At 44.6% G+C, this 25,078-nt stretch overlaps 1 protein-coding gene across 15 annotated transcripts in view, besides 3 other annotated features; it reads left to right on the forward strand.

Annotated features, from left to right (window-relative positions):
- Nucleotides 1–25,078, forward strand: part of ABHD2 (abhydrolase domain containing 2, acylglycerol lipase) — a 161,358-nt gene that overhangs the window by 121,766 nt on the left and 14,514 nt on the right. For all 15 annotated transcript variants that reach the window (NM_001416423.1, NM_001416424.1, NM_007011.8 and 12 more), the window contains 2 exons: nt 13,049–13,232; nt 22,661–22,753. In NM_001416423.1, the coding sequence (NP_001403352.1) occupies nt 13,049–13,232; nt 22,661–22,753 (277 nt within the window). The remainder of the gene's footprint in view (nt 1–13,048; nt 13,233–22,660; nt 22,754–25,078) is intronic.
- Nucleotides 4,503–5,702: an enhancer, noted in NCBI's record as "MED14-independent group 3 enhancer chr15:89710497-89711696 (GRCh37/hg19 assembly coordinates)". NCBI's record gives its function as "activates an origin of replication core promoter dependent on BRD2, BRD4, P300/CBP and CDK7 cofactors, and independent of MED14, by STARR-seq in HCT116 cells {active_cell/tissue: HCT116}" and the evidence as "EXISTENCE:reporter gene assay evidence [ECO:0000049][PMID:35650434]".
- Nucleotides 4,612–4,981: an enhancer, noted in NCBI's record as "active region_10043". NCBI's record gives its function as "activates an Ori minimal core promoter by ATAC-STARR-seq in GM12878 lymphoblastoid cells {active_cell/tissue: GM12878}" and the evidence as "EXISTENCE:reporter gene assay evidence [ECO:0000049][PMID:35858748]".
- Nucleotides 15,015–15,309: a silencer, noted in NCBI's record as "tiled region #3557; HepG2 Repressive DNase matched - State 12:CtcfO, and K562 Repressive DNase unmatched - State 25:Art". NCBI's record gives its function as "represses a minimal TATA promoter and a strong SV40 promoter by Sharpr-MPRA in HepG2 and K562 cells {active_cell/tissue: HepG2 | K562}" and the evidence as "EXISTENCE:reporter gene assay evidence [ECO:0000049][PMID:27701403]".

The raw sequence follows: 25,078 nt of genomic DNA on the forward strand, positions 1-25,078 counted from the left end.
ATTTGTTTTCATAACCTGTGAAATTATTTGTTTATATGGCTATCATCTGTCTCTCCATCCCAGAAGTTCACTCCATGAGAGCAGGCAGTTTTCGCACTCCCTGCTGTAGTTCCCCAGTGTCTAGAATCCTGCTTGGACCCTAGAAAGCATTCACTGCATCAGTGTTTACTGAATGCCTACTGAGATGGGAACTGACAGTTTGTGACTGTAAAATGATACTTTACAAACTAGTACATCCCAAACCATTGTGCCCTATATGTGAGTCTTCCCTTAGGCACATTGCCTCTCTTTTGAGCAGATGCCAGGCATTCAAGTCACTGTGAATACCCTTTGGGCTTTTTGCAACTGTGATCTTGACCAGAAGAAAACTAAAGAGGGCATTAACATGAAACTCTATATTCTTCTTTTGCTGTTATGCACCTGCCTCAGATTTCTCTGAGAAAATTATAAAGGATCTTTTCCCATTTATCAACCCAACTCTGTTCCAAACCACATAAGCTTTGCTAATGTGATTAGAAATTGTTGAAAACAGATCTGCCTTGCACAGAATTTCCTAAATGGATAATTAAGCATTCTTGTGACTTAGAACCCTTCGTGCTGCCTTTGAAAGATAAATTCATTAAGGAAAATTCTTCATGACAGCAGTTACCATTTATCTCACTCTAATGAGTGCCAGGCATGTGCTTTCACGTTACTTCACTTGATCCTTACTGCCTCAGAGGTAGGTTTTAATTAGTATCCCCACTTCACAGGCTTAGGGAGGTTAAGTACCTTGACCTGAGTCATGTGACTAGTGAGTGGCAGAACCAGCCTTCAATCAATGTGATTCTTAACCCTAACTTAATACCACCTCTGTGGTAGTGTTCATTTCCTATTTAGGATACTGTTCATTAGAATACAGAGGAGCAGGTGTGATGTTTGAGTATTTAAAAAGACATTTTCCCCACTTTGGTGGTAGTGGTCATTACTGTTCTGATAGCTGTCACTTACATAGCATTTGCTGTGTGCCAGGCACTGTTGTGAATACTTTGTAGGATATATTAAATCAGTCACACCCCTTTTACAGGTGAGGAAACTGAGGCCCGACAAGGATGACTGACTTGCTCTAAATCACAGAGTTAATGAGTGGGCAGCCCAGGCTTCAAACACAGGCAGTCTCGCAGTCTAGTCCTAGAATCCGTGCTCCTGAACAACAGGCTCCATTGCCTCTCCATGTAAGAGACTAAGGAGTGAGGAAATAGTTCCCAGTCAGATACATTTTAGGCTTAAGGCAAAAGAGCATCCAAGAGCATCTCAGAGCCACAGAATTGGACCTGTGGGTTTGGTCTTTGATCTTTTGTTCAGCCAGCATCCTCCAGACAATGATGGGGCCAGCCTCTGCGATGGGAATACAGGTGTGGATTCGAGTCCCTGCCTTCAGGAAGATCCCAGTCTATGAGGAACTCTCACCATCTAGTTGGGGAAGGAGGGTGCACAGTCACAGTCGGTCTAAGCTTATTGGCTAGGTTTGTCCAAAAGGAATATTTACCAACAGCAACCTTTTCACAGACAGGGACCAGATCTGCATTTCTAATTTTTATATTATTGTGTGTTAATCTCCTCCATCTAGTGTATCACTTAGAGAGAGATGGTCAGGAAAGGCCTGCAGCGGGAGAGAACCTGTGCTTTATAGTCCAACAGCTGAAGGTTTGACTGCCTGGTCGAGAAAGCTGAGAAAGACTGTTAAGAAATTTGGCAATAAGTCCCAGCATGGTGGCTCACACCTGTAATCCCAGCACTTTGGGACGCCCAGGCTGGCAGATCACTTGAGCCCAGGAGTTTGAGACCAGCCTGATAGAACATGGTGAAACCTCATCTCTACTAAAAATGAAAAAAGCCAGGTGTGATGATACACACCTGTAATCTCAGCTACCTGGGAGGCAAAGGCAGGAGAATCGCTTGAGCCCAGGAGTGCAGTGAGCCAAGATTACGCCACTGCACTCCAGCCTAGACGACAGAGACTGACCCTGTCTTTAAAAAAAAAAAAATGGCAATAATATAAAAGTGCATGGCATAGAGTCCAGCAAATACCAGTAAACAATAACGATTATCATCTTCATTGGCCCTTCACTCTAACTTTGTGTTTTCTGTGAGCCACCTTAGAGGAGAAAAGGTAAACATTTACTTGAACTGTTAAATGACCTTACCTCTGCATCCAGTTCATACAGTTGACCTCATGTGAACTTTGGAATTTCTGCAAGGACGAGTTTAAGAACCTGCTCGTGTTGAGCATAAAATTCTTCCTTCTTTGAGCTCAGTCTGAGTTACAGCTCTGTGTACAGGGATGTCGGCTGTGGTGATTATTCTGCAGTATGCAATGCTTGCTTTCCAGCTGGACAACCTTCAGTATTGGCCTCTTGGCCAAATCTGTTTGGGCCACACGCCTCCAGCTCAAAGCCACTGGCTTCTATATACAGAGCCAGCCCTTAAAATCAGTACTGGAAAGAGTTTTTACTGTAGTACATGCTACATTTTAACCTTCTAAAAAATGTTTTTTTTTTTTAAAAAAATTCCTCACACTTAACTTTTGTATAGTTCATAAATTCTTTAAACTGGAAAATACTAAATATGTCTCTTTTGATAAAGACATTAGCTAACCTGAGTAAAAATAAATGTGAAGAACACCTACAAGAGTAAAGTTTACCAAACTGTCTTAAATTTCTTATTGTGCCAAGCGAGGTGGCATGCACTTGTAATCTCAGCTACTCAGGAGACTAAGGCAGGAGGATAGCTTGAGGGTAGGAGTTCAAGACCAGCTGGGCAACATAGCAAGTCCTTGTCTCTAAAAAAAAAAAATTTTTTTAACTAATAGGGTACTCTACTGGGTCAGGCCAGGTAAACAACCCTGTCATGTGGGTGAGGTCAATAACACTTGGAAATCAAGGAAGATGAAGAAGTCATGAAGATTTTCTTGAAGTGTATTTATTATAAAGAGCCTAATCTTTAATCGAGGCACTGCAGCAGTAGACATGTTGGCTTACTCTTTATTGACTTAATTGACCTTCTAAACTAAACAATGTTTGGAATGTGAGTGTTTTTGTCAGTGATTCTGTAGGGGCCCAGTGAATTCAGGCAGCATTCTGCTTCTTCTGTCTCTCTTTGGCCGAGTGCCTTATCCCAACAGTCCAGTATTCATGTTCAGAGCAAAGAAGAGGTAGATCAAATCCACTAGCCAAAGAATAAACTGAAAACCAGAATTTTCCAGCTTGTGCTTATTCTGGCCTCCATATCATACCTTCATATCTTGAAAGTTTTATCACCAGAAAATCAAGAGCCAAGTAACAAAGGATCTTATTAGTTTGATCTTGATTTAAAGAGAGAAAAAAATAGGATTAAAAACAATATCTTCTATGTCAAGTGAAAGGAATAAAAATAACCTGGCTCTGGCTCCCCAAAGGTAACGAGTCCCTTAGGATCATGAGCCTTCTAAGAACTTAGTACCCATCTCCCACCAAAACACCAAGCTGGGGCATTTGGCATTGAAAATGGCCTCGAATATTTAAATTGCTTTTTTCCTGTGAGTTTAAACAGGGAAGAAGTGGGCCCTTCCCTTATTTCTAAACTCTTGACTCTCGGGCATTAGACATCAAGCTGTGAGGAAGTACGTGAAATCACAGCATTGAATTCTCTTGCTGGGAGGAGGAAATCTTTAATGTCCAACTGGGTTTAATACAGGAACTTTTTTGTTTTTTAAACTATCTTTTGGATTAAGGCTGCAGTGAACCGTGATCATGCCACTGCACTCCAGCCTGGGTGACAGAGTGAGACCCTGTCTCAAAAACAAAACAAAAATTATCTCTTGGGCTGGGTACAGTGGCTCACACCTTTAATCACAGTGAGACCTCATTTCTACAAAAAATAAAAATAAATTAGCTGGGCATGGTGGCTCATGTCTGTAGTCCCGGCTACTCTAGAAGCGCTGTGCCCAGGAGTTCAAGGCTACACTGAGCTGTGATCATGCCACTGCACAGCCTGAGCTACAGAGTGAGACCCTATCTCTTAAAACAAACAAACATATATACAAACAATCTTTTGGAACCTCAAGGTAAGGTCAGAAAACTTGGTCTTGCTTAGAGGACGGGACTTCAGTCTTAGAAGGGAGGGAGACCCCATCTCCCTCCATCTAATTACACATTCCAATTGAGACACTTTTGAGAGTAAAAAGGGACTTTATTAATAACGTTATAATAATTCATAACTTTATTAATAACTGCATCAGAACAATACATTCCAGGACCCTCTTGGAGAGACTAGGATGTAGGGTTACCTACCTTTAGCATGCTGTAGAGATCACCCATGATCCAAGACATCTCACTGTAAGAGCTTCAGGCAGTGATTTTTAAGGAACTTCTATTTTGTTTTTACTGCTTAATATCTTACAATCTTCTATTAGATCATAAACATAGGTGTTTCGATAAGCTTCTCATATCTACCATTTTCATTGGTGTAGACTCAATTTTGAATTGTATTCATAGTTATGAATTGTGTTGCCTCTGCATTAAACAGTTGAGTTTTATAATGGCAGAAGGGCACAATGGGAAGGGAGGAGGAAGAGATGGGTGAAGGGAGAGAGAGAATGTGAAAGTGAAGGTAGTGAGTTTGCAGAACTCAGACATCGTAGTAAAACACCTGGCAAGATCGTCTGCTGAGAGCCAGGGGCCAGGAGCTTCAGGAAGTGTGTCAGGGAGTCATATCCAAAGCAGAACAGTGGCCAAGAGTGGTGAGTTCTGCACTTTCAGGATGATATCTGAATACTTAAACCTTTAGCCATAAGAGGGCAGTTTTAGGCATCCTATACCTGGGGAAACAAGGCTGAAAACACTCATTTTTTAAAATCCTTATTTCAGAGATAAGGGCAAGGCCAACTAATTTGATAGCACAAAGGGGCCTTAACTTTATTTCTACAGCTATTGTATTCCTGGATGACTCAGCTTTAAGATAGTTTCCCCTTGACTTTAAGAAATGACTCACATACTTTTACTATGGAAGTGACAGGGGCTGCTAGGCCCCTAACCGCCCACCTGTCAGCGAGCCATGTTAGCTTAACTGTATTTTTCTCTTAGGCTAAACTTAGTGGGAAAGATATTCAAGTACCTCTTTCATGTCCCCTGCTTACTCATGCTGGCGAGTACTGTGTGCCTTTATTCCAGACGATTCAAACTTCCTTCTTATCCACCTGACATTTTGTGGCATATCCACAGATGCCATGCATGGGCCTGGCATGGAACATACAGAGATGACTCAGAGTCTCCATCCACAAGGAACACCAAGTCTCGAGTCCCTGTATTTTAGCCTATTTAGTCATGCTAGTGTCATTTGGGGAAGTGGCTGTTGAAATAATAGCTTTCAGGCAGCCTTTGCCTTGTCCTTCTTTAGGTGTAGGGGCTTGAGAAAAAGGTGAGGGGTCTTTTCTGTTCCCAGCAAGTTGCCTTTCCAAAATGGCCGTGCAATACTCATCTGTCTAAGGCCCAGCTAGTGTTTCAGATTTCATCTTACTTTAAAAAGCGGCAGCAAGATTATATAGTTACCTAGTGCTAATCCCATAAGAATTAAATACATAGAGCCTCATTTAAAAACAGATTAATGTAGCTGTTAGTAATAACAGGCCAGGGAGAGGCCCCAGGCACTAAAGGTGTTTGGTAACTGACATCAGGGGAGGTCCCAGGAGGACCTTCCAGAAGGCTGATCCTGGAGCTGGGCACCATGTCTTTGCCCTTCCCTTGCATGGGAGAGGTGGCATCTCTTCACAGAACATCCAGCAGTCTGTCTGACATCAGGCAGGGTTGGCCCTTTATCCAGATCAGATGTGTTTGGATTTAATTAAATTGAGGCTCCCAAAGTGCCTACACAATTAGCTGTAATTGCTCCTCAGTAGTGTAGCAAATCTGAGTTTTGTAACTGTCCCAATGACATCTGAACATCTGCTCTAGGTCTCAAATAATTAGTCTCAAACCTGAGTAATGATAGATGGGTCTAAAAGGAATCAAAGCTGGGTGCAGTGGCTCACACCTGTAATCTCAGCACTTTGGGAAAGGAAGCCAAGGTGGGCAGACCTCTTGAGCTCAGAAGTTCGAGACCAGCCTGGGCAACATAGTGGAACCTCCCAGGCAAGTTCGCCCATCTCTACAAAAAATCAGAAATTAGCTGGGTTTGGTGGCATGTGCCTATAGTCCCAGCTACTCAAGAGGCTAAGGTGGAAGGACGTCTTGAGCTTGGGGAGGTCAAGGCTGCAGTGAGCCATGATCATGCCACTGTACTCCAGCCTAGGGAGACAGAGCGAGACCGTCTCAAAAAAATAAGAATAAAAATAATAAAAGGAATCAAATGGTTGGGGGGAGTAAGATGTTTAATAATTGAAGCATAAATCTCTGGAGTACTATTACCTAAGTAGATTTGTGATATAAGGCAAGGGGCTTGGGCTTTGGGGTTGACATGGTCCAAAGTCTAGCGTTGGACTTTGAGTAGACACGGTCATGAGTAGACATGGCCCTACTCATTATGTGAGGGTGGACAAGTCATTTCATGTCTTTAAATCTGCTTCCTTGTCTGTGTTTAAGTTCCTAGAAGAGAGGCTGAACACTGTACATCTGTTGTTTCATCCATTCATTTAGGTAACACTGATTGAGTGCCCACCAAGTATCTGGCCTCACAGATACAGTGGTGAACAAGAGCAAGAATATCTTTGCTTCATGGAGTTTATAATCTAATAGAGTCTCATTCAATGTTGGAACCAAACATAAAGATATAGTTAGCTAAGAGATGACAAAATTAGGCAGAAACCTTAGGAAGCGGTGGAGAAGTAAATATTTAATAACAATTTAAAATAAGTTTCTCAGTACTATTTCTTAGGCAGGCAAATAATGTCCCCAGCACAAACCATTGCTCCAGCATGAGTGATATGTTGGGTGTCTTTAGCATTGTCGAAACTGGCCTGAGGAAATGTAAACATCTTTTTTTCCCTTATTTTTTTGCTAGATTTTAAAACTGGTTAGATTCATATTTAAAAAGAAATAAATACACATGAGAAAAACAGTCAAACTGTGCCAAAGGCTACATACAATGAGTGAAACTAGATCTTTTTCCTACCCTAGACCCCCAGTTTTTCTCCCCAGGAAATCAATATCTGCTGCAATTTCCCAGTGAATATTCAGTCAGATATGTGTGTATGTAATCCCTTAAAACCCAAGCAAACACGGGAGAGGGTGCCAGCCCCACTGTTTCACCCCTTGTTTTTATCCCTTAAGATGGCTCAGAGCCATTCCATGTCAGATCAGATTCTTTTTTTTTTTTTTTTTTTTTTTTTTTTTTTTTGGAGACGGGGTCTCACTCTGTCACTCAGACTGGAGTGTAGTGGCACAATCTTGGCTCACTGCAACCTCCCTTCCCAGGCTCAAGCGATTCTCCCACCTCAGCCTCCCAAGTAGCTGGGACTACAGGCACGTGTCACCACTGCCTGGATAATTTTTGTATTTTTAGCAGAGACAGGGTTTCACCATGTTGGCCAGGCTGGTCTTGAACTCCTGAACTCAAATGATCCACCCGCCTCAGCCTCCCAAAGTGCTGGGATTACAAGCATCAGCCACCGCGCCCGGCCAGATTCATCCTTTTTCACCACAGTGTAGTCCTTCATTTAACCAGTCCTCTACTGATGGAAATTTAGGTTGTTTCCAAACCTTTGCTGCTACAAACACCAAAATGCTGCAGTGAACATTCTTGCATGTACATGTTTACATACATATGCAGTATAAAGTCCCCAAAGGCAGAATTACTAGACCAAAGGTTTGTACTTTAAAAAACATGAACAGATGTTACCACATTGCCTTCCAAGGCCTATACCAATGTGTACTCCCTCAACAGTGGATGGACCAGAGGGCCTGTTACCCACACTTCTTCCAGTCCTGGGTATTGGCAAACTTCATCTTTTCTAACATGGGCAGTGGAAAATGATTTCTAAGTGTCATTTTAACTTGCATCTATTTAACAATGAGTGACATGAAGCATCTTTTCGAGCTGCACTTTTAAAAGACAAAAGAGGCCGGGCGCGGTGGCTCACACCTGTAATCCCAGCACTTTGGGAGGCCGAGGGGGGCGGATCACAAGGTCAGGAGTTCAAGACCAGCCTGGCCAACATGGTGAAGCCCCGCCTCTACTAAAAATACAAAAATTAGCCCGGCGTGGTGGTGGGCGCCTGTAATCCCAGCTACTCACGAGGCTGAGGCAGGAGAATCGTTTGAACCCGGGAGGCAGAGGTTGCAGTGAGTCAAGATCGCACCACTGCACTCCAGCCTGGGCAACGAGCAAAACTCCATCTCCAAAAGAAAAAAGAAAAGATTTCATCCAGCTTTTCTGTCAACTAGGACAATGGTTCTCAAAGTGTGGTCTCTGGACCAACAACGTCAGCATCACCTGAGAACTTGTTAGAAAAGCAACTTCTCAGCCCACCCAGACCAGTGGAATCAGAATCTCTGGAGGTGAGGTCCTGCAAGCTCATTGAGCCCCTTGAGTTTCTGATTCCGTGGGTTTGGGGTGAGGTCCAAGAATGTGCATTTGAACCAGTTCCCAGGCAATGCTGATGCTGCTTGCTCAGGGGCCACACTCTGAGAACCACTGAGCTAGAGCATCATTCTTGCAGTAATATATAACCTCCGTGCAGCTTTTCCAATTCACTCTTTACAAGAAAGATTACCAGAAAGCAGTTACATGGATTTAAAGGCATTTAAATTTTCTGTTTGTTAGGTATTAGTGGATCTACAGGAAGCGCCTGGTTGTGTTGAACGGCGATGTGCTACCTGTGGAAACCTTGCTTTGAGGAAATGTTTGGAAAACTGCTACCAGGCTAAGCTTCCGAAAGGCTAAGCAGCGCCCCCATCTGTGAAGGTTGTTTACTGCAAGTAGAAAGGAAAGGGAGTCTGAAAAGGGGTGGCCCAGAGATGAGAGAGTGCTTCAAAAAAATGCCTTCTCGCATTGGTCTGAGCTGGAGAGAGCCTCGTTCCTTAGAGCAGTGCGCCACAGCCACAGTGGTTGCACCTGAGGATCTTGTAGAAGAACACCCATGGCCAGATCCCACCCCCAGACGTTCTGACTTAATGAAGCTGGGGAGGCCCCAGGCATTAGTATGGGTGTTTTAGAAGCTCCCCAGGTGTTTGGCTTTGAGGCTATTTCTTTAACTCTCTCAATGATTCAGTAAGCCATTTAATACCCTATAATAAATATTTTTCCTGCTTTTTTTTTAAAAAAAATCCCCAGGTGATTCTAATGTGCAATCAGGTTGAAGAACACTACTTTAGAGAAAACCCTAAATTTTAGATCAGCTACACTCTTGTTTAAATATATTTTTAATTGTGATAAAATGTACATAACAAAATTTCATCCTAACCATTTTTAAGTGTACAGTTCAGTAGTGTTAAGTATATTGATTGTTTTGCAGCCAATCTCCAGAATTTTTTCATCTTGCAAAACTAAAACTATACCCATTAAACAACAACTCCCTAGCCCCTGGCAACCACCATTCTATTTTCCATCTGTAAATTTTACTAGTCCAGGTATGTCACATAAGTAGGATCCTACAGTATTTGTCCTTTTGTGAGTGGTTTACTTCATGTAGCATAATGTCCTCAAGGTTCTTCCATGCTGTAGCATGTGACGGGATGTCCTTCCCTTTTAAAGCTGAATAATATTGCATTGTACACATGTACCACATTGCTCTTATCCATTCATCCATCAAGGCACACTTGGGTTGGTTCCACTTTTTGGCTATTGTGAATAATGCTGCTATAAACATGGGTATACTTACATATTTTTAAAAGAGAAAATAATTAGAGTCAGTTATAGCCATTAACATTGAATGCTTATTATGCTCTGGACCCTGATCTAAGCTGTTTATGTATATCACTTTATTCACATCTCTAAACAACTCTACGAAGTCTTTACTCTTGTTACTTCCATTTTACAGATGATGAAACAGACCTAGGAGAGTTTGGTAACTTACCCAAGGTAACGGTATTTTGCACAGTTTCCTCACTACAAAAATTGTCTGGGCTGTTTGTTGAAAGTTCCCATTCCCAGGCCTCATCCTATTCCTGTAGGTTCTAAGCCTCCAGAAAGGAGCCTGGAAGCTGAAGATTTTCCCTGTATACGGGGGTTACTTGTCATCAAAGAGAAATTGAGAACATTTGGGGCCACTAAGTGGTAGGCCCAAGCAGTCTGGCCACAGGGCCTTTTCACTTAGCCATGAGGCCAGGCTGCTCCTTTAAGGCCTGGTTTTCAGTGCCTGTTATGGCCCAAGGGAGGTGAACAAATGTCTCCTTTGGGATTTCTAAATTTTTTATTTGTTGCGTGGTGTAGAAGCTGATATCAGCTAATTGCTCATTGTGCTCTCAGCTGTTTGTTTGCACATCCCCTTTTTTATATCACAGCTACATTTTGAAATCCAGCATTCCCTGGAGGCATAATATTCCTTCCATTGCTACCTTCTTAAAAAGAGAAACTTGGCCAGGGCAGTGGCTCATGCCTGTAATCCCAGCACTTTGGGAGGCGGAGGCAGGCAGATCACCTGAGGTCAGGAGTTCAAGACCAGACTGGCCAACAAGACAAAACCCTGTCTCTACTAAAAATACAAAAATTAGCTGGACATGGTGGCACATGCCTGTAACCCCAGCTACTCAGGGGGCTGAGGCAGGAGGATCGCTTGAACCTGAGAGGCAGAGGTTGTAGTGAGCCAAGATTGTGCCACTGCACTCCAGCCTGGGTGACAGAGCGAGACTCTGTCTCAAAAACAAACGAACAAAAAGAAACTTGAATGAATCTGACTTCGGTGGGGACAACAGTCTGGCATTTCACATTCCAAAGTTAAGAGTTCAAGGATCCTTCTGGACCAGGTTTTTGTTCCTTCCCTGTCCTCAGGGCCCATTCAGAGGCCTTGTCATCAGAATCCACTCAATTCAGCAACTCTTTATTGAAGGCCTGCAAACTGCCCCAGCCTCTGCTGAGTGTAAGAGGGAGAAAAATAAGCAGCTTGATCCTCTACTATCTCACTGGAGAGGGAGACGGGCTGCCTTCTCAAAGTTGGTGCCTGGGTCCTGCTGTTTGGGAGGAAGCAGCTCTTGGCCCGGTTTTTCCCTTAGTTTTAGGCATCTCTTGCTTAAGCTCCTTCTAAGCCCCCAGCATTTCCAGATCATGATTATTAGTCAAAAGTATAGGGGATACTGTCTGGGAAGAGGCATGAGGAGGCCTCCAGGGGTGTCAAAAATATTCTGCGTCTTCATCTGGGCAATGCTTACCTGGGTATAAATGTGTAAAATTTCATTGATTGTGCATTTTCCTGTATGTATGTTATACCCCATTAAAAATAAAAAAGAATAGGGCAGTTTCAAGTGTATTGATGCATAATATTGCCAGACATATTGTAAAGGGAAAAAAAGAGCCACCGAACAATGTGTATGTTACCACTGGTATTTTTAAAAAGAATATAGGAAACTTACCTTTCACTCCATCTTTTACAGCATTTGAATTTTCTACCATGGGCATGAATTACCTACTCAAAAACAAAGTCACTATAGATTCCTGGGCTTGGTCCCCATCTTACAGAATCAGCTTCTCTGGAGTTGAGGCCCAGGAATGGTCATTTCTAACACCCTCTCCAGGTGATTCTATGCACACTGCAGCTTAAGAACTGCATGGGGCTGTGCCGGCCTGGCTTAGGCTACATCCTACCACAAAAGAAGACAGATATAAGGGGAGTTTACCCCAGGCTCAAAAGATACTTTCCCCCATGGCTTGATGATTAGGGAAGGAGCTGTTCAACTCTATTAAGAATGCCAAAACCTCTGAGCTGGTGCCAAAGTCAACAACTCCCGTTTCCATTGTAAATCCGTACTCTTCTCATGCCAGTCTATTTTGTATGTGCTTTGCGTCGACATCCCTATCTTTCCATGTTAGATTTTAAATTGGCTCCCTACAGAGTTTGAGGTTGGGCCTTAGAAGGATGTGATGAATCCCTTCACTTGTAATATGGCCATTCACCTCCTCCTCTTAGCAAAGCTGCTGAGACATAACATGGCTTCAATAACTTCCCAAGGGGACACCAGCTGAGATCATCTCTCCTGGGCAAATGAGGCCCAAACAACCCTCTCTGTTAAGAGGTCTCATCTGTGTATTTTTGAATGAGCCTGCCTCCCTTGGCACCCTGTCCCTATGTCACCAAGAACGTTTTACCCTAATCCTACAGAGCATCCTGGCAGTCCCTCTGGACTGAAGTTTATCTTTCCTCTCCTTTCCAACTCTGTCAAGAAGATTCTGTAAATAACATCCACTTGCTACTTTTCTTAACACCATGAATCATCATACACATGGGTATAGCATCCCAATTTGTAGCCTAGGAAGCTAATCTCAAAGGATTTTGCTCTTGCATTTATTTATTTATTTACTTATTTTATTTTTTTGAGACAGGGTCTCACTCTGTCACCCAGGCTGGAGTGCAGTGATGCGATCTTGGCTCACTGTAGCCTCTGCCTCCCCGGCTCAAGGGATCCTCTTGCCTCAGCCTCCTAAGTAGCGGGGACTACAAGGACACACCTGTAGTGTGTAGAGGTGGGGTCTCACCATTTTGTCCAGGCTGGCCTAGCTTTTATTTAGGTCTGTGTGTGAGCATATGTGCTCATGCACACCCTGAAATCTGCTTTGATATCCATGATTATCTAGACACGGTTCTTGTGACCTACCTTTTAAGAAGCATTGTACATTTGATACATGGTACCTCCACGCTTTGGCACTGCTGAGGCCCTGTTTCCTCTTATCCCAAGGGGCATCTGGGAACTTCTGTCTGGATAGCCAAAGAGCAGTGTCTGTCTCTCTCTCCACACACATCCCCCGACACACACACGTATATATACACATATATATTTCTCTCTCTTTTAGTATACTGGCACCCATTTAGTAACGTTCCAGCTTGCATTTTCTCCAGATAGGATGCACCTGAAATGATTGAGCAATCTCACCCTTTTGCCCACAGGCTGCACGTGGGAATTTGGAGCCATGGTGAACTACATCAAGAAGACATATCCCCTGACCCAGCTGGTCGTCGTGGGCTTCAGCCTGGGTGGTAACATTGTGTGCAAATACTTGGGGGAGACTCAGGCAAACCAAGAGAAGGTCCTGTGCTGCGTCAGCGTGTGCCAGGGGTACAGTGCACTGAGGTGAGTCATCTCCGCCTTCCATCAGGGCCTTCAGTTAGCCCTTATTTATAGAGATGCCCCGACGCACAACACACTGTTCTGTGAAGACCGGGGAACACTGTGGCCGACTGAGTAGAAGTTTCTGAGTCTTGGACTCACCTTGTTTTGTCTGCATATCATACATTGGAGATGCCCCATCAGACCCCTTAAGCCTGGGATATGCAGCTGCGTTTTGGGGTCAGATCTGTAATTGGAGAAGTAAAACCCCCTTTGATAGTTGCTGTCTCCTAGGGAATCTCTGTCAGGTGACTTAATTTGTTCAGGCTTCAGGAGTTTTTATAGAAACGTGGATTAATGAAAGAGCACAGGAGACTGGCAAGCTGGGATCTGAAAGCTGGGCCTTGGGATCCCAGATCCCTCCTTCCTGCAAGAGATGAGTCCCAGATGGCATCTGGAAGGGATCTGTAGAAATCATTTAATCAGTGTCCTCACCTTTAAGTATTTGTCTCTGTCAGGCATCCCAGGCATCATCACAAAGGAGCTGATCTACTGGGTCAAGCTTTCTCCCACCCCTTAGTCTCTTGCCAGTAGATGCCCCACAGGATGAGTCCCAGGAGGGCGTGGTCATCTGCCCCGATTCCCCTGAAGATCACTGCTGTCCCAGGTCTCTCAAGAGTCACCACACTCACACGTTCACACACACATGCACACACTCACACTATACACACACCTCTCCAGGCTCTTCAAATACATTCATATTTTTTTCTGTACTCTTCATGGTGTCTTTCGTTTTACCAATGAGTATAACCAGTTATTAAAAATCTGATGAAAAAATTTGAAACACACGGGAAAGTTTAAAAACACCTCCCTATTGATCCAGTCTAATGCCAAACAGTCCTTATCGTTATTCAAAGAATCTTTTTGCCTCACCTGTATATCTCATGCTGCAGTTTAAACATACCTTGTTACTTTCTGATGGATAGAGGCCATCTATATTATTTCTAAAAATACATATTACTGGAATTTAAAGCCAGCACACCCAAAAGACACATGTGGGCCCAGGATTCAGCCTCTCCCTATGAGGCTTAAAGCTGGCTGAAAAAGGTGATCTAAATGTACCCACGATAGACATGAGAAACATCTCTGATGAAACCCTTCCTGAGTCCCAGGACCAAGGTCTGGGTTCTATTTTTCCGTGCCGGCAATATGGGGATGATGATGATAAGCAGTACCTACCTCATAGCACCGCTGAGAGTCAAATGAGTTGATGCGTGTGAAGTGCTTAGAACAGTGCCCAGCACGCAGAACGTAAGCCACTGTTCATTTTCATTATCGTCATCATCGTCATTCACTGTAAAATGAAGGAGGTGGGTTCGATCGGCGGATCACAAAGACCGGTCCAGTGAACTAGTGACTGCCTCACTTCATAAGGAATCACTTGGAGGATCATGTTAGAAAGAAATTCTGTTTCTTGGGCCCCACCCTTGGAGATTTTGATTCATGAAGTTGGAGGCATGGGACCTCAGAAGTCTGCATTTTGGATACATTTCATAGGCGAGTTTTCAGTTTAGTTACGTTTAGCAGTCCCCGGGGTTAGTGACCTCAGTGGTCTCTCCAGCTGCTCTCGCGTTCCAGGACCAGGCTAGTCCCCCATCTTCCTACCAGGAATCTTTTCCTTCACTCCTCTGGACACTGGGGAGTCAGCTGAGAGGACATGTGCCTTTATCTTGGTGGGACTAGTAATATCCAACTCCCAGCTCATAGCCACGTGTAACCAGAATTAACCAAAGTCCTGTCGGGCCCAGTCACTGGGATAAGAAAGACATGAGCAAGGGGCCTACCCCAGGATCCAAGGGAGCAGAACTAGGACGTTTGTTTTGTTTTCTTTTTTTTCAATGCACAAAATCTTAACACGACAATCCCTTCATCTCATTTTGCTGCAGTAGCGCCATCTGCTGTCAGCAAGAGCACATGATTGACGCAGCAAGCTAAGGTGTTTGAACTAAGGCAAAGAAGGCTCAAGAAGCTAGAAAACTAAAATCTGTGAGGTGCTATACATTTTGCAGACATAGCCTACACAGCCTCTTCCTTGAGACCTCAGAGGGCTTCATACACATAACTAACTATTGGCACACCAACCTCATGCAACAAAGAGCAAGTTGCAACTTTATTGTCTGGAGCACAGAGAACTAACTTGCCCAGGCTAAGATCATGTGGTCCTGCATATGGGAACTGGCACCAGGTCAGAGAGACACTGTTGTCCTTGTGTGTGCTGGTCCAAGGCTCAGGTACCCTCAACATTTAAACCAGATCTATGGAATAAATGGAGCACAGTTCCTTACTTTAAACCAGTATAACCTTTTTTTTTCCTGCCAAGGCTTGAGGGCGATGAGCCTTTCAGCACTGGGATGGTGGCAGCTGCATAAGTGCTTCCCATCACACCAAGGTGGAGCCGGGGAGGCCCGTCTGCCTCTGCAGGGGCCACACGAGAGTTCATGCGTCTGGTAAATCTCTCCTAGCTGAGTCTGGAGACCCGCTTCCTCAGTGAACCCCTCCCTCTGGCTTCTCCTCCCGTAGCTCACCTCCCATCTAGCCAGAGCCGGTTGAAGGCTCAGAGAGAAGCCAGCCACCCGCTTGCTGTAGTTAGCAAAGTCTAGCTGCTGCTAAACTAGCTCACCTTCTACCTAAATGTGCTGAACCACTGAAGGAGGGACACAGATGCCCTGAAATCACCTGGTATCCGGCAGACTTTAACATGTTCCCTCAGCATAAACAGCTGCCAACCCGCCTGGGGACTCTGTGTGGTGAGACATCCTCCTAGGTAACAGGGACACAGCCTTGAACAAGGCTGACTAATTCCCTGCCTTCATGGAGCTTAAAGAAAATGGGGAGAGAAGCATTTTTGGTCTGGTTTCAGGTAAAATAAATTCTTTCCCAAGAAAGCCCTCAACAACCTTATGTTACAGAATTGACCAGTAATAATAAAACTAAAACAAAAGCATTTTATTGCAGTTTGGGTGTAAAAGATAGTCTGTATCTGAGGACCTCACAGCACTTAAGACAGCAGAGTGATATTTACAAAGCCACAAAGCAACAAATACATGTTACTAAGATATTACACATTTAGGCATATGGGTGCCAAGGAGGTCCTCAGTCAAGTGGGGGGTCCATGAGGAGGGATTTCTGAAGGAGGTGAGGGTGAGGAGGACAGTAGCACAGGGCCCAGGCCAGGGGCAGAAGCCCCTTACAGCAGGGGTCCCAACTGCTGTTAGGAACCAGGCCGCACAGCAGGAGGTGAGCGGTGGGCAGGTCACAGTGGGCAAAGCAGTAGGGAAGCAGTGGGTGAACCTTCATCTGTATTTAGTCTCATTCCCCATTGATCACATTACTGCCTGAGTTCCGCCTCCTGTCAGATCAGCAGTGACATTAGATTCTCATAGGAGGATGAACCTTATTGTGAACTGCGCATGTGAGGGATAGTTTGCATCTTCTTATGAGAATCTAATATCTGATGATCTGTCGCTGTCTCCCATCACCCCCAGATGGGACTGTCTAGTTGCAGGAAAATAAGCTCAGGGATCTCACTGATTCTATGTTATGGTGAGTTGTAGAATTATTTCATTCTGTATGATAATGTAATAATAATAGGGAAAAAGTACATTATAAATGTAATGTGCTTGAATCATCCTGAAGCCATCCCCCTGCCCCTGCCTTCCCTAGGCTGTGGACAAATTGTCTTCCACAAAGCCAGTCCCAAGGACTGCTTCCTTACAGGACAGTAGGGGAATTATCAGAGGAGTGTTTCAAATCTCCTTAAAGGCACATTATACTCCGGGCTAAGTGGATGTGTTAACATCACTAAGACCTGACCTCCTTGGTTCAGGTAAACCTGAACATCCTAGCATTCTTTGAGCAAGGCCTTCCTGCCATGGGGAAGAGGCAGGTACCACTTTTCCTGCCAAATGGTGGGGATATTGTCTCTCTTGCTTTTGATGGGCAAACTTCAGGCTAGAGATGAGTTTATGGCAAAAGCAAATATTATTCATAAAGTTTCCCCAGAGACTGGGACTTTCCTAAAATTTGTTTTTATAGTTGAAGAGCTATAAAATACAGTAACTTTGTGCCATCAGTAATTTTGAATCACAGCCAAACAAAGAGGGGGAAACTGCAGCGTTTAAATGAGACTCTATGGACGGAACCTCACCCTGGGAAACAGCTCAGCTTTTCCACCACTGGGTTGTGAAGTTGACCTGACCACATGGTTGCCCTTAGTGCCTTGGGGCTTTTTGTGGGTTTTTTTGTTGTTGTTAATTTTTTTTTTATCAGTATAATGAGAGACTCTAACTCATTCCTGTAAAAGTACATCCTGCAAAAGGAAAAGATTCTGATAAGGAAGAAAGGGGCTTGGTAGGTGGCCATCCCTACTCTAGTCTGAAGTCCATCTTTCTGCCCCATCCTTCCACCCCAGTGGAACTAACAAAGCCCAGCCTGGCAGGTACCAAAAACTCTTGGCCCACTCCCTTGTGTGGTACAAACATGGTTTTCTTCTGCTCACACTCAAGCTGAACTAGCTGGAGATGATGACCTCTCTACAGATTGACTCTGCCCCTGAAGGGCAACCTGCTACCAGCCCAGAACCTTCTGGCTGGGTCTTTTGGGTCCAGAGGCTCTACCATCCCTCCTCCCAGAGGCCCGGCTGTGCAAGGCAGGAGCCCTGTCTTGGGCTTGGCCAGCCTGCCTAGGATCGTGCCCTCTTCCTCTCTCTGCAGGCTGGGCTGGTCCTGGTTTTGCCCCCACTGCAGGATTACTCTCTTACAGTGCCCAAATTAGAAATAATCCACATGTCCAGCATGGGAGATAGTTAAATAAATTAATAATATACCAACTCAGTGGGAAACGAGGCAGCTTTTATTTTAAAAAATCAAGAAAAATATATAACACGACAGAATGTATATATTAAAAGTAGGGAAGGGCCGGGTGCGGTGGCTCACGCCTGGAATCCCAGCACTTTGGGAGGCCAAGGCACGCGGATCACAAGGTCAGGAGTTTGAGACCAGCCTGACCAACATGGTGAAACACCACCTCTACTAGAAATACAAAAATTAGCCAGGTGTGGTGGCGCGCACCTGTAATCCCAGCTACTCAGGAGGCTGAGGCAGGAAAATCTCTTGAACCCAGAAGGCGGAGGTTGCAGTGAGCCGAGATCATGCCATTACTGCACTCCAGCCTGGGGGACAGAGCGAGACTCTGTCTCAAAAAAAAAAAAAAAAAAAAAACAAGATGGTAAATTTTATGTTATGTGTTTTTATCATAATTTTTTAAAAATATGACTGTATATAGGCAAAACCTGGAAAGAAATCCCCTCCTTCTACAAGTAAAAATACTTCTTAGGTCGGTGTGATAGCATTATGGGAAAGTACTTAATGTACTTTATTCTTAAGGTTTCATTAGCATATTGCTTTCAAGGTATTTTTTTAGTATCGTCTACATCCACATCCCATTAATTCATCTCCAATCTTAATTCATACTGCCCTTGCCTTTTTTCCCTTTTTGGGGTGTTAAGGTCATGCTTGCCCATCCCACTCTTACAGAACCTCATTCTCATTCTCCATATTTTTTCAAAGACCACAGGAAAGCTGTTTCACTATTCTTATAGTCTCTCAGCACTCTGAGACATAATTTATTTGAGCCAGGAGATCTGAATTCACTTGGGTACCATTAGATGCATTCTTTCCCCAGTTCATTCTCTTCTGACTTTAATTCGTTTTCATCAGTACTTGGTCCACTCACTTTGCAAAATATGAACTGGAAAGCTGAGCCTTCTCTAAGCAGTTACCCCAGCAGCATAATGGTTGGCTCAGCTCTTCCTTGCCCAAGTGATTGCTCTGAACCTAATTGTAAATGCCTGTTTGTTGGGACCCTCTTCTGAGGGATTAAAATCCATTGCCTTCCGCAACACCTCTTAAAATTCTTTTAACAGTCCAAAGAGAAATCTCTCACTAGAAAATGGCTTTGAAACCAGTATGGGTCATATTTTATTATAATTTAATGTTACATTGATTAGAAATGAAGGCATTTTCAGGGAATTCTATTTATGTTGGTAATAGGTAGATCAATGGATGGACAAAGTTCTTTAAAAATCCTTATGGATTATTCTCAAAAAAGACTCCCAGTGAAACTATACTGGGTTTGGGGGTTAATTTTCTCTTCTCATTTGTGATTATCACTTCTTGAGAGTTTTGCAACTTTCAGAAAGCATCTTTCCTTTTGGAGTCATCCTGGTTCTTTCTGAAGTTTTGAAACCTACCCTCCTTCCAGCAAGATTCACTCTGAATTTTGCAAAGCCATTCCCTCCCTGTAATTCTGCCCGAGCTGCCCCTCCCAGGGTTCCACACTTCTCTCCTGTGTCCTCAGCCAGTTTATCCTGGTGGACCAATATCTGGCCCAGCCTGGGGAGCAGTTCCTGCCACCCCTTCTCTCTTCTGGAGAACATAGCTATCTAGAGGCAAGTCAAGAACTTGGATATTCAGGCCAGGTGAAGTGCCTCACGCCTGTAATTCCAACACTTTGGAAGGAGGCCGAGACCTAGAGATCACTTGAGGTCAGGAGTTCTAGACCACCCTGGCCAACATGACGAAACCCCGTATTCTACTAAAAAAATACAAAAAATTATCTGGGCATGATGGCACACACCTGTAGTCCCAGCTACTCGGGAGTCTGAAGCAGGAGAATCGCTTGAACCCAGGAGGTGGAGGTTGCAGTGAGCTGAGATCACACCACTGCACTCCAGCCTGAGCAACAGAGTGAGACTCCATCTCAAGAAACAAAAACAAAAAAAGAACTTGGATAGGCAAGTAAGGTATTTGTGCAGTGTCTAGAGAGCTAAACTCCCCTGGTTTCGTGCCCATTTTGTGATTTGCATCTAAAATTGAACCCCAGTGTAGCCACTACCAGCTCCAATAACATGAATTCATACCCCCATCTTGTTTCCTCTACACCTATCCATTCAACCCCTCCCTCAGAAACTACATTCTTTTAAAGCAAGTTGCAGATATCATTTCATCTGTAAGTAGTTCACTAGGTAGCTCTAAAAGACTCTAAGGACTTTTTCTTAAACATAACCACAAATACCATCATCACCCAAAAAATTAGCAATAATTCCCTAATAGCATCCCATGTCTAGTCAGTGTCCAGATTTCCTTGATTGTCTCATGGAAGTGCTGTTTGTTTGTTTGTTTGTTTATTTTGCCAGTTGGCTGGTTTGAATCAGGATCCACATACTGCCTACATATGCATTTATTGATTTGTCTATGTTTCTTTTAGTCTGTAGGTTACCCTTTCTTTTACTGCCTTTCAGTTTGCTGTTGTTGGTATTGAAGACATCAGTCCTTTTCAAAAAAAAAAAAAAAAATATATATATATATATATATATATATATATATGAGATGAATGTAATACATTGATCTTGATTCTTTTATTAAAGCAATATAAATTTAAGTTTCAATTCCTTAATTCTACAGCCAAAGGTAAAAGACATCCCCTACATATACTGAGTGGTAAACCAAAGATACTAAAACTCAATCTTAGCCAAAATAAACAGTGGAATACTGGTCCCAGCATCCTTGTCCTGATCCCTCCCTGAGCCCTGGGTCCCTGTGAATCCCTAGAACCTTTCAACAAGCAGTGCCTGTGGTGTTTTCAATAAAAAAAAATCAAGGGCTGCAGCATCTTTTTATATCTTGTTTATGGCCACACCCTCCTCCCTTCCCTACCTCTGCAGCCTGTCTGCAATGAAGGAGGTACTAACAAAAGCAAGAACATCCCTTCAGTTAGGAGGTCAGCAAAGGGAGAAATGAACCAGGGTAAGAGAAAGCTGGGATTGCCAGAGACCACTGGCTCTCTGGGTGGCTTGGATCCAAAGTCAGAGGAGAGGCAGCTGGTTGTGGCTCGGTGATTGGGTGACCCCCTTCCCTCTGACCACAGGCAGGTGAGCACAGTCCTGCTTTAGCCGGGGTCCCTCATGGTGGTCTGGTCCTATACTCTTCCTGTAGTGCTTGGTTAGAGTCGGGCGGGGGTTGGCTGCACATTTATGCAGTGGCCTTTTGACCCTTCAGGGTGGTGGTAGTCTTCACCTTGAGCTTAGCCTGTGTTTGATGAGCACATTGCAGACCATTAAATTCACAAACCATTTCATTCTTAACTCCCCACTACCTCTTATTTTTTAACCACGACATTGTGGGAAATGTTTGTCACTCCAAAACTGTGGAATTTTGCCATTCTAAAATTGTAGCAGCTTTGGGGAAATTACTTTTATAAAATTACTTTTATAAACTCCCTGGATTGAAAAAATAATAAAAAACAAAACAAAAAACCTTACAAACCACCTGGTCCCCTCACTTACCATCTGGAAGATGGAACCTAGTAGAAGTAGTGACGTCCAGATCCATTCACAGGGTGGAGTCAGGCCTGGAGATTTTGAAACGTGCAAGATAAAAGTTTCCCTGTAATGAGTGTGGACTCAGTGTCCGCCTGCGTTTGGATTCACGCCCAAGGGAGGAGAGCAGTGAGTGGGGAGGGCTGGGCAGGCATGGCTGGTGGGAGTGAGCCCACTGGTGTTTGTTCACCTGCTGTGTGGTCATGGACATCTGGCTGGGGAAGCACATGGCCAGGGCTGGTGGTGCTGTCTCCTCCCTCTGCATGTGCTGCTGGCAGAACCTGGGCTCTGGAAAACAGGGATAATATCACCTGCCTACTGCCGCCATTGAAGGGTCAGAGTGTGGCCCTCACAGCCACACACTAGTGTGCCAGTCACACACTAGCCCTAGAGGCAGAAAGACACTTCCAGACCAGCCCCACCAGCTGTGCCTACAAAGGGTTAAGGGCCTGTCTACTTCCACTTCGATTTCCTTGCCTCTTCAATGGTATAAGGCTAATCAAAAGATAGATGTATTTGGAGGAGATCCCAGTTAATGATTTTCCTTTACCTCTTGATCAGCAATGACAGAAGATTTTTTAGGTTTTCCCCTCCACACCCACTCTCCCGTTCCATGTGCCAGTCATTAAACCAGAAAACTTGCCTGCCAGGTAGGGAGCCAAATACAGAAAGTGTTCACATGACAATTGAAGCAGACTTTGGTCCTGGCAGGCTCAGTGACTAAGAGAAGGTCCAGGTGCTAGAAGAGAGTGTCGGGGGTGCCACCAACAAAGCCTCTGGCGCTAGAGAGGGCCTTTGCCGGGGTCCCCTTCCCCTGCGCTGTCTTGGTGTCTCCATAGATTTCTCCACAGGTGTTTGAGCTCTGCACATTAGAGCCTCTGTTTTAATGCAGAGGCCACAGCCTGAGAGCCGGCCCTCTCCACACAAGCACCTCACCCCATGGCTAGAGCCCCCTCCTGGCTGCCCGCCTGCACCCCCACACCGCAGTCACCCTCACTCGCTGTGGTTCTTCCAGGGCCCAGGAAACCTTCATGCAATGGGATCAGTGCCGGCGGTTCTACAACTTCCTCATGGCTGACAACATGAAGAAGATCATCCTCTCGCACAGGTAGGTCACCTTCCGTTCTCTCTCAGGAGACAGACAGTTCCTTCCTGAGCTCATCTGGGAACCGTGAAAAGCCAGGACTCCTGTTCCTTCAGGGGAAAAAAAAAAATGCAGGTGTGGTACAGACTCTCTGCTGCCTGCATTTGTGACTTGATTAGAAACAAACTTGTCTTGGCCAGGCGCGGTGGCTCACGCCTGTAACCCCAGCACTTTGGGAAGCTGAGGCGGGCAGATAGCTTGAGGCCAGGAATTTGAGACCAGCCTGGCCAACATGGCGAAACCCCATCTCTACCAAAAATACAAAAATTAGCTGGGCATGATGGTGCCGCTGTAATCCCAGCTACTTGGGAGGCTGAGGCAGGAGAGTCGCTTGAACCCAGGAGGCGGAGGCTGCAGCGAGCCAAGATTGCGCCAATGCACCCCAGCCTGGGTGACAGAGCGAGACCCTGTCTGAAAAAAAAGAAAAGAAACCTGTCCCAAGCTACTGAATTTGCCAAATTGCCTTATGCTTTTATAATTCCCAGTAAATCTAAGACAATGAACCACTTCCACACCCTTTTCTCCCAAATTAGAGCAGTCACGAGGTGGCTGTCATTGTTGAGGAGACCTTCCCTGTAGGATGCTTCTGTGCCTGGGGGATCAGGACTCATTCTTGGCTGGCGCTTGGGCTTCTGACCAAGCAGCAGCGGGACAGGAGGCTCAGGGCATGGTTTCGGCGCCTCCCTGCTCGGAGTTTGAGCCTCTCCTTATTCTTCATGCTTGTCCTGCCTCTCCGCCTCGTAATCCTGTGGTGGGTTAACCTGTCAAGTGCTTAGAGCAGTGCTGTTATGCATAGCACCAGATAAATATTAGCAATGACTTTTTCATTATGATTATTATTATTGCTGACATCTCTGCCTCCTCCTCTACGCCTCTCATTCCCTCTAGCTGGACTAGGCTACTTAGAGGTTCCTGTGTCCCCTGGCCTCTGCCACACTACTTACTGCCCTTGCTGAGAATACTCTCCCGTTTCTCTGCTGGTGGGAACTCAGCCCATCCTTTAAAGTCCATCTCAATTCTCCTGCTTCTGTGAAGCCAACTCATCCATGCCCAAGTTGCTTTTCTTTTGCTTCCCCTCTGTAAATCCTACGTCTAGAACCAAACTGGAGAGCGTTGGAGGGCTTAGGCATGTGTTGATTGCTCCCAGCACCCGAGACACACCCGTTCGCTCAAAAAAATTTGGGGGATTTTTGGTATCACCCTAGAAAAAGCAATCTGACTAAATGATCAATTTCTTGTTCTCTTTTTTCCAGTGGCTAAAGCAGACCACACACCCCAGATTGGGCTTCCTACGGGTGGGCGTTCACATGGCACCTAAGCAAGGCTGGGCTTGAAGGCCCCATCAGGCTGCCACGTTGCCAAACATGTCCTTGTGTCCTCGTGTCTGGAAGGAGAGCAGAGGGAGACTTATGTCCCCTGTGCTGGCTGGAAAATCAGCTGTTCCCACTTGGCTCATGTTGTTTGAGATTCAGCTGTGTGCTGGGCACTGAGGTGCGTGTAGCTCAGCTGAGTTTGAATGGGTCTGGAGATTGCAGATGTTTTGTAGCCAGAAGGGGTGGATCCAGGCCTCTGACACCAAGTCCAAGTCCTCTGTCTGCGTTTCCACACCTCTGGTGTCAAAAGTGACTCCTCCCAGGAAACATTTGTTTTGCTAAAGGACCCAGTCTTGCTACTAATTAGTCTAGAAGGTTCAAATTATGAGAGTCCTTTGAGTGTACTCTAAGTATTCACATTTTTCAAATTTACTACAGAAAGCCAAACATTTGGAAATTTTAGGTTAACTTTGAATTTGTACATTCTATCCAGTAGGTATATAATCTTCCTAATAGTCTTTTGAAAAAAATAAATGCTACAGAAATGTGTTCTTCTTTTGGAGAGGTTGTGAATGAGTCGCAGAATACCAAGTTGGCATAATAAATCCTTCCTACCGCAGGGCCATGCCTCAACAAATTCAGTCCGCTTCCAGGTGTGTGACTGAGAGCCCTTGCTGGGAAGAGAGGTCAAAAATGCACGTTGTGACCCCTACCTCTAATGTCATCCTCTCCAGATGGATTTTTTCTTAATAGAAATGCTGGTTCCACTTGGGGGTTGGGAAAAAAAAAATGATTGCTCTCCTGAATAGATGTTAGCTTTTATCTAAGACACTAGAGAGCTGTTGGTTTGCCCAAATGCTAAATGAGTTAACCCTTGTCTTCCTCGCTTTTTGTTTGTTTTCCACTCCTTCCTGCACACTGAGTCTTCCTTGTTAAGCAACACAAACAGCTCATTAAGGGGAAGGGTCTCTGCCAA

This window comes from Homo sapiens, chromosome 15, assembly GCF_000001405.40.
Source record: "Homo sapiens chromosome 15, GRCh38.p14 Primary Assembly".
Lineage (NCBI taxonomy): Eukaryota > Metazoa > Chordata > Mammalia > Primates > Hominidae > Homo > Homo sapiens.